The following is a 17,450-nucleotide window of genomic DNA, read 5'->3' on the forward strand; positions in this document are numbered from 1 at the left end:
CCACCAATCCTATGCCTGGGATTACAGGCATAAGCCACTGCACCTGGCAATGAGGCAAAATTTAAAATAAAATTCAGGTTAACTGATTCCTCACTTTTTCCATAATTATATTCTAAATTTAAAAATATTATTTTTAAATGTCATTTAAAAATAAAGTGAATAAATTTTAATTTAAAAACTTAATTTTATCATTAAAGTTTTAAATTATATATATTTTTTTAATTTTAATTTCAACATATTTAGGGGTACAAGTGGTTTTTGGTTACATGGATGAATTATATAGCAGGAAAATTATATTTCTCACCTCCTAGATTATTTACTGTTTAAGTGACCAAGTACTACTCATCTTTATATTTCTTGTAACATGTGAGATAAATAGTGGGTGTTTAAAAGTGTTATTGAATTTAACTGATGTTTACTTCACGTTCTAGTGACAACAACTGAATGACATATACTATCACATAGCATAATTATGTGTACTATAATAATATTCTTCCTTAAAACAAAAAAAAATGAATGTATATCAATTTCAAAACACATGATTCTGATGTGAAGAGTGAAATTTTTGGTGACAAACTGGGTCATCGTGTTTTCTAATTAATTTGTTTATTTGAAAAATAAAAAATAAATATGCATAACATGATGTTTTGAAATATCTCTACATTATGAAATGATCAAATCAAGCTAATCACTATGTACATTGCCTCACATACTTATTTTTTGTGGTGAGAACACATGAAATCTATTCTCTTAGTGATTTTTGAAAATATAATGTATTGTTACTAACTATGGTCACCATGTTATAAAATAAATCGCTTAGACATATTCCTCTTATCTAATTGAAAATTTATGTTTTTGCCAACATCTCTCCAGCTGTGTTCCTCCACCCATGCCCACTGCTAGCCCCTGATATCCACCATTCTATTCTGCTTCTGTGAACTTAAATTTTTTTATTTTTGAGACAGAGTCTTACTCTGTTGCCCAAGCTGGAGTGCAGTGATGCAATCTTGACTCATCGCAACATCTGCCTCCCGGGTTCAAGTGATTCTCGTGCCTCAGCTTCCCAAGAAGCTGGGATTACAGGTGTCGGCGTTTAAGCCTGGCTAATTTTTGTATTTTTAATAGAGATGGGGTTTCACCATGTTAGCCAGGCTGGTCTCAAACTCCTGACCTCAAGCGATCCACCTGTCTTGGCCTCCCAAAGTGCTAGGATTACAGGCGTGAGCCACTGTGCCCAACCTATGAGCTTAACTTTTTAATTACTGCAGCATTATTGCAAATAATGCTGCAGTGAACATGGGAGTGCAGACATTTCTTCAACACACTGATTTGATTTCCTTTTTATACCCAATAGTGAGATTGCTGGATCATGTGGTAGTTCAATTTTGAAATTTTTGAGGCACGTCTATACTGTTTTCCGTAATGGCTACACTAATTTACATTCCCATCAACAGTAAATAAGGATTCTCTTTTCTCCGCATCTTTGTCCACACTTGTTATTCTTGTTATTTATTTTGATAGGTGTTAGTTGATATTTCATTGTGGTTTTCCCTGAGGATTAGTGATGTTAAGCATCTTTTCATATACTTGTTGGCCTTTTGTATGTCTGCTTTTGAAAAATGTTGATTCTGGTCCTTTCCTATTTTTAAATGGATTATTTGTTTGCTTGCTATTGAGTTGTAGGAGTTTCATAGATGCATTGGATATTAACCCCTTATCAAGTGTATGATTTGCAAATATTTTCCTCCATTTTGTTGTTTGTCTCTTTACTATGTTGATTGTTTCCTTTGCTATATAGCAGCATTTTAGTTTGATGTAATACTATTTTGTCATGGCATTTTTAAGGAAAGTGTTTATTAATGCATATTTTCTCTATCAGTAATTACAAATCCTCTTCCTCTGCCAAGGACCAGCTCGGCACCAACTTTACCACCCAAGTTCACAGCCACCTCTCACTTCCTGAGATCCCATACTACCAAATATCTAGGGTACTTTATTACTTTATTAATTCTTTCTCATATTTTTCTATGATGGTTTCACGTATGTTGATCTTGTTTCCTCAATGAAATTGTAAGCTTTTTGTGAGTAATAAGGACAGCAATCTTTTTTTGTACTCCTTTCTCTTGCACACAGTGAGATCACAAAACATAGTTAGAAATATTTGACCAGACAGTTTGCAAGAGTCTTGACCTTATCCTTGCTTTTAAGGTATTTGTAAACAAAGGCACATGAAACAAATACGGTGTAGCATTTAAATGAAAAAGGTGGCCAGGTACGGTGACTCATGCTTATAATCCCAGCACTTTGGGAGGCTGAGTTAGGCAAAACCCTTGAGGCGACAAGTTCATGATCGGTCTGTGCAATGCAGCAAAACCCTGTCTCTATAAGAAAATTAAAAATTAAAAATAAAGGAAAAAGGCATAATGTCACAATGGGAGGGGAATAGTGAACAAATTAATATGAATTATTGTATTTATACTCTAAATGATAAAGTCTATGCAATATTAATGTTTATAAGGTGTCATATAGTATACAAAGCCATCTCATAAACATTAACTTATTTACCTTAGAAAAAGATATACTAAGGAACATAGAGTAAAAAATTGTTGGAGCTGTATATCAAGCAATGAATTACCAACTTTATGTTAATCAGTCAAAGAAGGCTTCAGAAGTAATTGTGTGCCAAAATGAAGTTTTGTAGAGTTAAAGTGATATCATTTTATTGTCTTTGTCTATGAGATCTATAAAGGATTATATCTTCTCTGAGAGAATAAGCTGGATCTTGAAGATTTCATAAAATGATTTCAAACCTGGCATGGAATCTTGACAGGCAACTAAAAGCAAAATGAAGACACAAAAGGTTTTCTTCAGTACCATTGCCCTGAATCTAGAAGAAAATTATTGTATATACTTTTCCACAAATAATTAAATTTGATTTCTTAGAGAATATTACGGAACTTGTAAGACTCAGTTCCATTGTTTTTCTCCTTCTCCTTACTCTTTCTTGGTGACTAATGAAATGGGCAAATAATTATTTTTCTTCTCTTAGGACCTTCTCTGAATAGAATTTGAGAGCTCATATAGCTAACCACTGGGGATGGCCAAAGAAAACAAATCAGATAGAGGAAGCAGAGAACTGAATGGATCACAAAAATACATCACAGGACTTTTATTATGACAATATTTTAAAATAATAGATCGTGTTCTAGTTCCTTAGTCCCCTCTCTACCACAAAAACAAGGATTGCCTTTTGTGCACAGAGTCTAATAAAAATCAGGTAGTAGATTTCCAGTATATGAAATATACTCTACTACATTTTTCCATGTTTTTTAATTCGATTTTTATGAGTTTCTGTGGCTGAGGGAAATATGGCTAAAGGAACAGGGAGTTCTGGATGTTTTAACTGCAGGCTGATATATGCTCATAGAATACGGAGATGGAATGGACCTTGGAAATCAACTCACACAATCCTCTTGTTTCACAGGAAACTGAGATCTAAAGCAATACTCTCCAACCATGTTCATGTCATGACAACATAGAAAGTACCATATTTTAATGGCACATTGGGACAATCTATAAAGGCTTGGCCACCAAAGAGGTTATGGGGATCAATATCTTGGAACAAACACCTATTCACACGACTTCAGCATATCAAGGACACATCAAGGGGAATCTCTGGTCTAGAGTGCCCACATTAGAATGGCAGATTTACAAAAGAAGGCAGAGTAACACCTAAATTTCGGACTCTCCACAAAGTGCTTGTATTATCTTGGCCAAGTGGTCAGGGGGAGTGGTTACAAGTAGGATAGGCCAGAATAGAGGAAGGTTTGTGGGATGCTTAATGTCACCATTTTTCAGATCCTTCTAAGATCTTGCATCTTAGAAACTGGCAAATTGAAATCATTGCTCTATTCCTCTCTCACTGCAGCATCCACTAACCTTATTTCTTATACATACAGCAGAGGAAGACGAACTGGGATAAATATTGTTTTTCTACTGATATCACAGTCTCTGTGATTAGAGCCAGATGTGTTGCCTCAGTTTATCCTACCTGTATGCAACATAGTCAATTAACTAACATATTCATTACAATGAGCTTTTAGTCTTTGTACTGATGTTTACACAAGTAATCTGTTTTAGGAATTTCCAACTGAAGTACAAAATTGTATTAAGGGTAAAGTTCACAACAACAGTTGACTTCATTCAGTTCTTTTTCATAACTATACAGAACCGTAATTTTTAGAACAGAAATAAATTAACGTGAATAACTGATACAAATTCCAAACACACAAACACACATACATGTGTACACAAGCATTCATAAAAGTTCATCTTGAAAAGTTAGCATCCTATGATGTTGCAAGCCTCATATTTATTCTAATTTGTAAAAATGTATTTCACTGTACCACTTTCTTGAACACTTATGCAGAGACAAAGTGCTTGCTAAGTCCATGGATGGTCAGATGTCAGCCTTAGTAACCTTCTCTAAACCAGTCTCAAAAAACCTGAGAAGCCCAAAAAACCTGAATTATTGATAAACTTTGTGCCTCACTAGATTAAAACCTATATGAACCATACTTTACTTTTATATGGTGCTGTGGCAGTACCAAAATCAAAAATTCCAAGGCAACTGAGCACTGGTGTTATTAACATTCTGTTCATTAACCTTCCTTTTCTGCCATAACTGCATCCACAATGAATTCTTTTCTGAAATTGGAAAAGACAAAAGAGAGAGGCAGAGACAGAGCGACACACTGAGAGACTATACCTGCTTCTGGAATGTCTTCCTGTGTGTTACATACTTGAGACTGTAACAAAACCCTTACCATTCTGTTAAGAATTGTTAACTTAGTAAATTCCAGGTTGAAAATCAAATGACTACAGAATGATTTTTTTAAGCATTTGGAAACCTTGCATTTTAAGTAACTCCACTTCCATTGCACAAAGACTCGACTATTTATTCATTTCATTTGACTACTTTTTAATCTCAGTTTTTCTGAAGACACTAATGACCCTCACAGATTGTTACCCTCCAGTGAAATAACAGAGCTTTGGCAGCGGCTGGATTCCAGTTGAAGAGTTCTGAAACTCATTGTAAATCTTCCTGTTTTGTTGTTCTTCAAACTAGGCTTTGCCATCTGCCTTATGAATTGAATTTTTGTTGCGGTATTTCCCATGATCTAAAATATGGGTATTGCCATCCATAAACTGAGGTTCCTGGAGAGTATTAATTAAGTCCAAAATATTGCACCAATGTGCACAGTGAAATACAACATAAATGTCATGGCGTGACCATTATTATAATCCTGTCTGCATTCCATGATGGCTGTTCTCTCAAAACCCAGAGACAATTTGGTTGTAGCAGCCAACAAAGTTAAATCTGAAGACTTAAATTCAGGTGGATGGGATAAATTGAAACAGATCTATTGCTCCCAAACACTCTCTTGGAAATAATGGCATCTTGACATTTTATCAGTCACTCAAGCGGTCATTCTCAACAGTATCAGTCGGAGCTTGAAGGATAGAGCTGTAAAGAAAGGACTGTCAGCCATAAACATTCCTCAAAACCATGAAAACCACAAATGAGAGCTTAAGTAATGGAGGACACAATACCCTTGATATTTCAACAATTACCTGCAACAACAGGCTTTGTTCAGAACCATGGTCATTTTTTCAAAAGCCTTACTTGTCAACTCTGGACTTGGGGGGAAGGAGAGAGATGGAGAAAAAAGAGAAGAGTGGGAAGAAGAAGAGGGAGGAGGGGAAGGTTGAATTCGATGCCCTTAGGTTAAAAAGTGAAGTTAAGTTGGCCTCATATTTAAGAAAGCTATGAAAAATTTTCAAGAACAACAACAACAAAAAAATCCACTAAAGATTGATCCAAGGACATTAATATTATTAGACTCGAAGTGAAGCTTTGAGATCATTAGAAAGGCATTTACACTGCTCAGTTGTTTCCTTCGTGGCCATTCCTGATGTCAAATTACACAGGAGAAAAATAGCAGAGAATGCAGTGCAAGGAAGAGAAAGTAGTAATGGATAAGAATGTAAGTGTGGGAAGGCAAAATGAATTTAACTTCATTACACCTCAGGAACATATTGCTGTGTTGTGAAATGAGAAAGACTAATTTTAAAAGGACTTGGTGCTATTATCTTTGCAATTGGGACCCAAGAAAACTAAATGAAATTGAGTATACACCAAAACCAAGTCACCCAAACTCAAGAGACAGCAAACATGGAAAGGTTAAATGCCCTAGAAATTGCATTTGTGGAGTTTCTCAACACAAGAGATTAATGGTTACTCAAAGCAATGGATAAATATTAGCTGAAGACCATTAGCTGAGGAAAACACATCAGTGCATCACTGTTCTCGGGCTTATCAGATCAATTTTAAATAGGTTTATCTCGGACTTTTCTAACATTTAATGAGGAACAAATTGTTTTTTTTCTTCTGTTTCCTCTATCCATGTTGACTTTTTGATATTACCTTGGAGAGAACAATTAAAATAAATGGGTGTGTGACAAAGTGTTAATTTGGTTGTCTCAGAAGCGATTGCAAAAGGGTCATTTTATTATTGTTTCCTCCTATTACACAGTTTATCATAAGTATTTAGATTGAATAGTGGATTTCTTAAATTAGAAGAGAGTTTGAATGGTCATTTTGTTCGTCCTCAGCCTTCAAGCAGCACCCACCTACACAATCTCAGCTCTCAGTCCGTATCAATCAGAATCAGACTGTCAGTCTATTCTATTTAACAATAAAAAATGAAAACAAACACAAAGCATATATTATTGCCTGTCTAGTGCCAATCATTATGCTAGTCATCGTGGGGGATTCAAAAAACAAATACAACCCAAGTACTTATCCTCAAGAAGCTTAGCACCTAGTAAACCTAATTCACTCATTTTATATAAGTCCGTTTCTTCTATCTCTAGGAAACATTGAGGAAAGAAAGCACAATTATTTTTACCCATAGCTTCTGGATTTCATACAAGAATATTGAAGTCTAAAGCTTCCCGATTAGGCTTTAACAAGAAAAAAAAACAGAAAGTAGTGCCTGAGGACTGTGGAGATCTTATGGCCTTGCTCTCTGCCTCAGTTAGTCCCTCTTTTTTCTCTAGCTTAACCTCAAATTATGACTTTGTTCCCCCACCAGTAATGGGGCCTGCGTGACAATTTTTAAAAGTACAAAGACTTCTAGAAGTAAATTTGTGTCTTAAAATTTACATATATATATTTTTTTCTTTCTTTCTTTCTTTTCCTATGGTTAGCCCCACAAATTCAGCTCAGGAATTTGGAATATCTTTCAATAGGCAGCAAATAAAGCAACACAAATGTTCAGTCAAATGGTCCAATTTTGAAAGCAGCAAGTGACATTTCTGCTTCCTTCAATGAACCATGCATTTTGTCTTCATTAAAAGAATCGTTTCTTTTTATTCTATGTCAGTATCTCATAATAAGGCATCAATAGAGTAGTGCTTATACACTATGGCTTGCCTGACCTGTAAAACAACTTCTCGTGACCTGGATGTTTCCCTTTGTGAACAATACAGCATGAAATAGCCTAGTTCCACCCATATGGAAGGCTGTTGTTTCACAACAAACAAAATAGCACAGTAGAAGACCATGCTCACTTTTCATATATTGAGAACTCTTCATAGATTTGAACCTGAGTACATCTGTGGTCTGAAAACACAGGTCATGAATAAAGGGACCTTTGAGGAAACTATTTCATGAGAGAACAAAAGACAAGTTCCCTCCAGTGGTCGGAAAAGAGAAAAGAAATATGTCCTCTCTTGGTACCAAATAAATGGATATTCTGAGTCTTCGAAACAGTGACATTGTTGTTAACAGTGGAAGCTCTGCATAAGATAATTTGGTCGGGGTAAGAGGATACTGAGATAAAGAAGAACTTTATACTCTATATATTTCTCTCATTCTTCTCCCATCCTCCCTCCCTCTCACACACAAACAATTTATCTATTTATAGCTGTTTGATTTTGTTACAATAAGTATGCATAATTTGGTGTTTTTTAAAAAGTTTAAAAGAGGGCAAAAGCCTCATATAGCTTCTAATATATAGTTTGCTTTCAATAAACGTTTTTAAAATGTATACTCTTCAAAAGGAAGAGTAGCAAGTGTATATCCTATCCTGTACCCTTTCAGCTAGGACATAAATCTTCTTTGTACTGCTCATAACAAAAAACAAAAGCAAGCACACAAAAATAATGAAAAACAAGTATCCTCAAAATTGCTTGGCATCCATCATATCCACTTTTCCCTCCCAACTAGGTCATCTAAGTTGCATTTCCTCATTTGTCTCATTTCAGCATTCTCAGCTCCATAACCTGATTCAAAACTGGCCTCTGATCTACTTTGGTTCTCTGCCCTCCCAGTTCGGATCTTTGTATTTCTACTATTCCATACTGTCTTTGTTTTTCTTGGAGCTCTTAATTACCCCCAGGCCAGAATCTCCACCTCTAGTCCCCAATTCTAGGAAACTCTATCACCAAAAGATCTAATTGCAGAAATCTTCCTCTTACCCATCCAAAGAACATAAATCTAGCAAGCTGGAAAGAATAGTTAAAATAATAACAATTGTTATTACTTTTTAAAGAAAATGAGAAAACCAAGTCTCAAGAATAAAGTAGTCACCAGGAATGTCTTCAAAATCCAAAACCTGGTATTATTATGGAAATCAGAGAAAGGGGATGAAATCCATAGTTACTGGCTAAATGATTTAGTGGAAATAAACAGAGAGAAAACACAGAATGGAAAATCTGGAATTCAAAGGAATTGCAGCCAGATACTGACCTTGATAACATAACTCATTCTTGGAAATGTCAAAAGTTTTGAAAATCTCAGGAAGGGCATTAGACTTTAACACAAGATATAAAACAGGAGTTTAGGCCAACCTAGATCTTAAGAAGAAACAAGATCAAAGCTTACATCTGAGTTCTCCATGTAACTAACCATATAATGCAATGTATATGTCAACTAAGCAATAAACACCCAAAAATGCTCAAGAGAAAGGACCAATCAGAACAGAGGGTCAAGAAAGGAATTTAGAGAAGGTAGAGTTCAGAGCACAAGCTTCATCTTGATCTCACTAGCTAATGTAAAATATGGCCCTTATGTTGTTGCAATCTTACTTGAAAGCTGTTTCCTGGTCTCAAAGGCTTTATAAAGACACCAAAAGCCCGTGGACACCGGTTACATGCAACCCCAAACCTAAAACCTGGGGTAAACAGATTTTTTCCAAAGCATCACCCAGGAGAGCTCTAGTTTTCTTTGATCTTTTCACCCAGGGTCTAATGTTAGGGTCTTTCTTGTGAATTCTCCACATAGGAAATGAAGAATACAATCTTAGTATTGCCCACTTCTTATCTGGGAAAAGCAGCACTTCTGATATTGACAACTAACTAGTGCAACCCTGAAAAAGTCACTTGACTCTTCTGAGCCCCAATATTACCATCTGTAAAGTGGGAATGAGAGCCACTACTTCATACTGTGGTTATTAAGAATTGCATGAGTCCTCAAAAATAAAGCACTTGACACAGTGACTGACACACAGTTACATGCCTAATAAATTGAGGCTCTTTTTCTTGTCATAAGCCACTATCACATAACGTTACTTTCTTTCAAATGTGTATTCATTCAGTTCTGAAAATATTTTACTTTTGGGTTTTGATTCAGTATATTAAGTCCAAACAATTCCAAAACTTCCCAATAGTGTATGGTTTCTCATTCACTCTTTCTCTCTTTTTTTCTTTTTCTTTCTTTCTTTCTTTTTTTATTTCTCTCTCTCTCTTTCTTTCTTTCTTTCTTTCTCTTTCTCTTTCTTCTTTCATAAAACCTTCATTGTGTCATTGCTCTGGAGTGGTGCTTCACAAACTTTAATATGCACAAAAATTACCAGAGACTTTGTTAAAATGCAGATTCTGATTCAATAGGTCTGGCTAGATAAGGCTGAAATTCTGCATTTCTAAAGACATCCCAGACACAATGCCACTGGCCAACGGAGAACACTTTGAGTAGCAAGGCATTAGTTGTTCTCAAAACCCTTTACAATTCTTCAGTTCTAAGTATTTCCTTAAACAGCTAGACATAGCTGGGGAGGCAGAGGAGGGAAAAATACAAGAAAAATAGTTGCCTGCTTCCATTTGTTGACCATCTAGTAACAAAGGTTAGCAATTACTGAGAACTCTTTTTGACAGGCATTGGTTCAATGTGCACTACATTTTTTAATCTGATTTCATCCTTACAACAACACTGTAAGGTAGGGACTGTTCTTCCTATTTTAAAATAAGGAAACTGAGCCCAGGAGACACTGAATAATTTTTTCAAAGCCTCATTAACTAATCGATGGCCAAGCGGGAACTGAATAAAAGCAGTGTAGCATAGAGTCTAAACTCTTCCCATTCACTATATTATGTATTTTTATACTCTATTTACATTGCAAACTATAACTACATTACTTCTAAGGCAATAGATTCATCTCTTGTTCGTGTATTGTCCTTACAGGCTGGAAATGCTGAACAGCTTCCTCCCATCTACCAGGGAAAAGTGAGATACAGGTGATTTATAAAAGATCCCCCCAACAACCTGCACTTTATCTCGGAGGATATTTACTAGCTAAATTGTTAATTCTCTATTTAACTCACTACCACCCACTAGCTATTAGCTATCATCAGCTGATTCCTTTCTTGTTTCTCCCATTTCTGTCCCCTATAATACTTGTTCCGTATTCATTTAGCTCCATGCTCAGTCTCTGAAAGCCAGCTCTGCCCAGTTTTGAGACCTCACCCTCAGACTCATCTCCCAAGACTACTCTTACCCTACCAATCAAGAAGGGAAGCTTGGACATTGAACCAGTTTATGAGCCATGAAAATAAATTCAGGCTTATTAATTTGTAGTCAAGAAATGCTTTAACAAATAAGTGAGCATTTTGCTTAGGTGACCCCATCTTCTATTTGTACCCGTAATGGAGAAACTGAAATTGTCAAATCAGTGCAATATGTTGCCTCCTTTTGCAAACAAATAATTTATTTTAGGACTTTTCATGGCTTCAGGGTTCTCTTTTCTGGGTCACAAATGATAAAGCACACAAAATTTTATTCATTTCTATCATGGTTCTGGGGATGCTAAAAATCACATTTTGCTTTTAATAGCTTCTCTACCAATACAGGTAGTAAACTCTTACTCAGCCTCCCGTTTCTAACTGCTGTTCATACCAGTCTGTCTTAACTGTGGAAACAATTCTCTTGCATGAGCTCTCATTTATTAAGTGCCGACTATGCTAAGTGCTTTACAGAATATATACAGCATTAGCACTCTGTGGGATTCACTGTAATTTTGTAAATTGATGACAATAATAATGCCTTACATTTATGTAGTTTTTATATTTTTGAAAAGGTTTTTTGTGTTCATTATCTTATTTAATCCAAAACCTTTTTTTTTTTTTTGAGGCTGGGTATGGTGGCTCATACCTATAATCCTAAAACTTTAGGAGGCCAAGGTGGGAGGATCACTTGAGGCCAGGAGTTCGAGGCTGCAGTGAGCTATGACAGTGCAACCTCAGTCTAGCCTGGGCAACAGAGTGAGACCAGACTCAAAAAAAAAAAAACAAAAGAAACTATTTTTTGAGGGCAGAATAAGTATTATTCTGCCAATCTTACAGACTTGAAAAAACTGAGGATCAGAGAGGTTAAGTTACCTGTTTTGAGTTACACAAGTTTTGTCAGTATGATGTTGGAACTTAGCATCCCCTAATTCATTGTGTTCCTAGTTTTTAAATACAGAAAAAAAGTTAAAAGTATGTGCTAACTACCCACAATTAATAAATGCTATCATTTACAAGGAAGGAAGGAAGTTAAGAAGGAAGGAAGGAAGGAAAAGGGAAGGGAAGGGAAGCAATGGGAAGGCAAGGAGTATTTCTGGCTGGTTGGTTCACAAAGGAGATGAAATTTTTTTTTTTTTTGAGACGGAGTCTCGCTCTGTGGCCCAGGCTGGAGTGCAGTGGTGCTATCTTGGCTCACTGCAAGCTCTGCCTCCCGGGTTCATGCCATTCTCCTGCCTCAGCCTCCCAAGTAGCTGGGACTACAGGTGCCCACCACCACGCCCAGCTAATTTTTTGTATTTTTAGTACAGACGGGCTTTCACCATGTTAGCCAGGATGGTCTCGATCTCCTGACCTCGTGATCCACCACCTCGGACTCCCAAAGTGCTGGGATTACAGGTGTGAGCCACTGCGAATGGGCAGGAGATGAAATTTTACCTCACTCTAGAAGGATAGCTGAAATGTCAATGACTAGTAGCAGAAGGAATTGGCATGAACAAAACTGTAGGTATATGACTACCTGTGAACACGCAAGTTGAGTTTATGAAGCAATAGGGACAAAAGTTTGTCTAGAGCAGATCTGAGAAGGAGAATTATTAGTAAGAAGCAAACTAAGATCAGGCACTAGAGAGTTTTGAAAACTAAGCTAAGGCTAGGGAGTTCAAAGCTATTCATATTGCATAACTGAATACTATACTAGTGTTCACTCTGCTTATTACACTTTTCATCAATCCACTAATCTCAGCAATAACTACCAGGCTCAGAGCTCAGCAAAGTACAAAGGGTATTGGCAGGGAGATCTTTGCATCTGAGGTCCCACTCCCACCCTTAAACACTTCTTGCCTAAACTTTGATCTGAATCTTCATAGTCATACACATACAGTGGAAGTTTAGGGTTACATTTTCAATGCCTGACCATCTTTTGCTAAGAAATTTTTTCAAGAAGGCCATGGTGGTAATACTACTAATAAGTAAAAATCCATTTCACTGGTTCCTTCAATTAGTCAGACTTCTTTTTGTTGCAATCTAAAATTGAATTTAAACATTAGGGAAATACAAAAAAAAAGATAGTAAAACATGTTACGGTCATTTTTTTAAACACTGAACTCTACATACTGTGGGACCCATTTACATTTAGCTCAACTCCAGCATCTTCTTGGTCCCCATTTCCCATTCTTGGTGATGAGAATTCAAGTTGAGAAAAAAAACAGTGCCATTCTATAGAAATTCTTTGGTAAAAATATATTGAATTATGTTCCCTGGAGCCTACTGAGTTGAAGAAATGCTTATCAACCCTGACACAAGCAGAATTTTAGGCCTAACAATTCTTTGTTGTGGGGGGCTCTTCTGTGCATCAGAGGCTTTATAGCAGCATCCATGGCCTCTACCCACTAGATGCCAGTAGCAAAAATATCTCCAGGCATTGCCAAGTGTCTCCTGGCTGGCAAAATTTCCCCTGATTTAGAACCACTGGGCTGCAGCACAAAAATAACCTCAACTTAGAGAATCCCAGCAATTGGTTTGAAACAAAATTAAGAAAAATAAATTAACTAAGCTCTAGTCTGTTTCCCTAAGCTTCCCAGCACATCACACTTTGTTATATAATCTCATTTGCTCAGGTAAAACCTATCCAGACCCAAAATAGAAAAATTTACCAACAAAAACAAAAACAAAAAAAAAGACAACACAAAATAAATCCCAGCTCTGAACTAGTTAACTAATATTCCACAGGAAGTTATAGACAATTTCCCTCAAGAAATTAAATTCCTGTACAAAAGTACCCTGAGGACTTTAACACAAATCACTCTTCTTACTTGAGACTATTTATCATTTTTTAGAGCTTATAAATTATATACACCAAGCAGCAATTTTATACACCAACAACCATAATAATCCAGACACAAAGTAGAGCAGTTGAAGGGTACGCCGTTCCAACAAAGAGAGGAAGAAGTAGAAGGAGACGGGCACGAAAGGAGCAAATAGTGTTCTCCTCTAGAGCACTCTTCCCAGGGACATAGCTTTTCTTTTCTGTCCTCACTGTCTTAATAGATTTCATCTTCCTTTAAAAGACATGTCACAATCTGTCCCTGAAGACAGCGTTATCATTAAAATGCTCCACTGGGGGCAGAGGGGCAACATTACTCAGTGTGCGACAGGGCATTCGAGAAGACGGGTGACACTTTTCCTTCAGGGCCAGCATTTTGGAGAACAGAGGGGCTGAGACAGGACTCTCAGAGGTCAAGTCTTCCTCCTCTTGCCTCTGGTTGAGGCTGCAATCTATGCCATTCAAGAAGAAAAGAAGTCAATTCTTTCCATTTACATTTCCAGAATGAAGTAGCTTTTTTTTCATTTTACAATAATTACAAGAGTTAGGAGTCCTGCTAGAGCAATAATGTTCCTCTCCCAGTTATCATCTATGCTCACCTCAGCTATCCTGATCTGAGCATCACTTATAATGATCAAGAATCAGGTGCCAAATATTCATCTGTGCAGCACACAGAAAATACATCACTCCTACCCTTCCATGTTGGAGGTGAAAAGAAACAAGATGAAGGACACACACAGTGGTCAACTCTCATTGCGGTGTTCCTATCTCCCTGTTATTTTCAGTAGTAACCTACATATCATAATTAAGCTGCTCACCATCTACAGAACTGAATAGATAGAAAATAATTACAATATTTAAAACTGGAAGTCACCTTGAAAAACCTCTGTATCCAAACTCATTTCATAAAAAGGGAAAACCATATGAATAAGCTCTGGAGATATAATGCACAGCATGGTGGCTATAGGTAATAATACTGTGCTATGTACTTGAAATTTTCTAAAAAAGAAGATCCTAAGTTTACTCACCAAAAAGAAAAGAAAAAGCTAACTATGTGAGGTGATAGATATGCTTGTTATCTTGATTGCTGTGATTAGTTCATAATGTATACGTATCAAAACATCAAGTTGTACACTTTAAATCTACAAACTAAAATAAACAGTAAAGAAGGAAGCTGAAACCAGAGAGATAAAATGACACTGCTCAAGGTCATTCAGTTTATCCATGACCTGTGACAAGAGAACGTGTCCCCTAATACTGCTTCTCAGGAGCAATGACAAAAAATCCAGCTGAAATTATCACCAGAAACAAGAAAGCCAAAAAACTTTAAGAGGTTTTATAATTAAACATATCAGAAAGAGTATTTGTTTTTATTTATTTTTTTTGAGGCTCCCTGGCAGCCATTTCTCTTCCTAGTAGCATCCCAAATTCCTTTTAAGACACTACCCTGCCCCCATTCTCAACTATGTGGTTTGGGTGGATTTGGCGTCACCAAGAGCTCATGCATCTTTCTTTAGGATTCATGAGAAGCTGCATTTAGTTGCAAATGCTTCAAGGTAAATCAATTTATTAAATTGCTTTTGTATTAGTCCAATCTCATGTTGCTATAAGGACATGCCTGAGACTGGGTAATTTATAAAGAAAAGATGTTTAATTGACTCACAGTTCTGCATGGCTGGGAAAGCCTCAGGAAACTTACAATCATTGGTGGAAGGCAAGAGAGAGAATGTCTGCCAGCAGGGGAAATGCAAGACACTTATAAAACCATCAGATCTCATGAGAACTCACTCACTATCATGAGAACAGCATGGGGGAAATCAACCCCATGACTCAATTACCTCCCACTAGGTCCCTCCCATGACACGTGAGGATTATGGGAACTACAATTCAAGATGAGATTTGGGTGGGAACACAGCCAAACCAGATCAGCTTTTCTCCCAGTGAAAAACATGATTGACAAAACAGTAGGCGAGTTGAAGGTGTGATTGGAATTGGCAACCCCAAATATATACTTATTTGTGGGGAGCTGACCCTAAGCATAGTTTCTATTTTTATATCCCCCATGAGACTTGGGATAGCCCAAGAGTGTGGAAGACCAAGACTTCTCACCAGAGGTCACAGGACAATAATTGCAGAATACAGCTCCAATTTACTACTCAATGTCCTCCTGATTCTACCAGGAATTAACAAAAAAGGTCTCAGAACTCTAAGAAAAAACAGGATATTGTGATTACATTCCAAACCACTACAAGTAAACCCTCTAAGCTTAAATGAAACCCATGTGTGCTGAAGGCCAATGACTCTCTTTGTTAGTGGTTGCAGGCTTATGGGGCTCTGGTTGTTAATGAAAAGAAGAATGGGTCTCTTTTTATGTCTTTGTTTTTTAAAATATTGGCCAGATAATAACAATAATCATTCTTTTTAATTTTTTAATCATAAAGGCCATATTTGACTATCATCTTTAGCTTTTCAAAACACAACAAATACTGTCCCATGTGATACTCACAAGGCATTGTGTATCCCTATTTTACAGATAAGGAAAACTAAACTCCAGGTTCAAGGGGATTATCCAGGATTACACAGTGAGAGCATGATAAAGCCAGGACACATGGCACAGCATTAAGACATATATACTTTATAAAATGCAAAGTATAGGAGTCCCTTTGTTCATTTTTCTTGAAATGGCTCCAAATATATAATTATTTTCTGTCTTCAGAGTTTTGAAGGCTTATCTAATCTCCATAAAGAAAGAGATAGGTAGATCCTAAAGCAGATCACAAAGGAAATGCTTTTGAAGTAATAAGACATTATGAGGATCGAGGACTCTATATGGTAATGTGTGTGTGTGTGTAATGTATAATTGATCATTCTATGAAAATGAAAGTCAGATGATCACATTTATTTTTTGTGTGACACTATTGATTTTAGACTGGGATTCATTGTTTATATATCCACTTAGGTCACCTGAAATTCAAAGTGACTCCTTACCTATAAAATTTACACTAAGATTCTTACTTTCCCCTTCTACTGAAAACATAAATAAGTAAATAAGCATTGTAGACTTTAATAATGATATTGTGACTATGAATCCGGTGATACTTTTTAAAGGCCCATGCTCTGGGAAGCAGCACTAACTCCATCAGAGGCATTTAACTCTGTCATCCAGATATTCATTCACATGGATCTTCTTCTTATGTTTGTTTATAAAACATCTTCATCTAAGATGAAGAAGATCGGCCACTCCACTGAAGTTTCAGAAGACTGAGTGGGAGATTTTGAAAGAATTATTTTCCAATTCATGCTGGAAAGATCAAAAAAAGCAGCAGAGGTGAACAGCTGCTGACTCCTAGAGTATGGAAATGGAAGAGCTGTCTCAGGCATTGTCATGGCAGGAAGAAGAGATGGAAGAAGAGAGGTACAGAGAATATTGGACACCGCCCCTCAGCCCACCTCTGCTTTAAACAGGGCTGCTCCACATCTATTTGTATTATACATGGGAATTTTGCTGAAAATTTAATTTGTCAAATTCTGGTACAACAGACACATCCAAAAATGTTTGAAAAATTTTAGGGCCACTCAGGTAAAATCACTTGGCCCTTATCACCTAGTCACTGAGAAACAAGGATTCTGAGCCAAATCATCTATATCCCAGTACAGGTTCTCTTCACTAATCCATCTCCTCTTGACTTCCTACCTCTAACTTCATTTAATCCTCACAGCAACCAGGAAAAGTAGATATTACTAGCTTTATTTTATAAATGCAAAAGCTGAAGCCTAGAACTTT

Source organism: Homo sapiens, chromosome 18 (assembly GCF_000001405.40).
Source record: "Homo sapiens chromosome 18, GRCh38.p14 Primary Assembly".
Classification (NCBI taxonomy): Eukaryota; Metazoa; Chordata; class Mammalia; order Primates; family Hominidae; genus Homo; species Homo sapiens.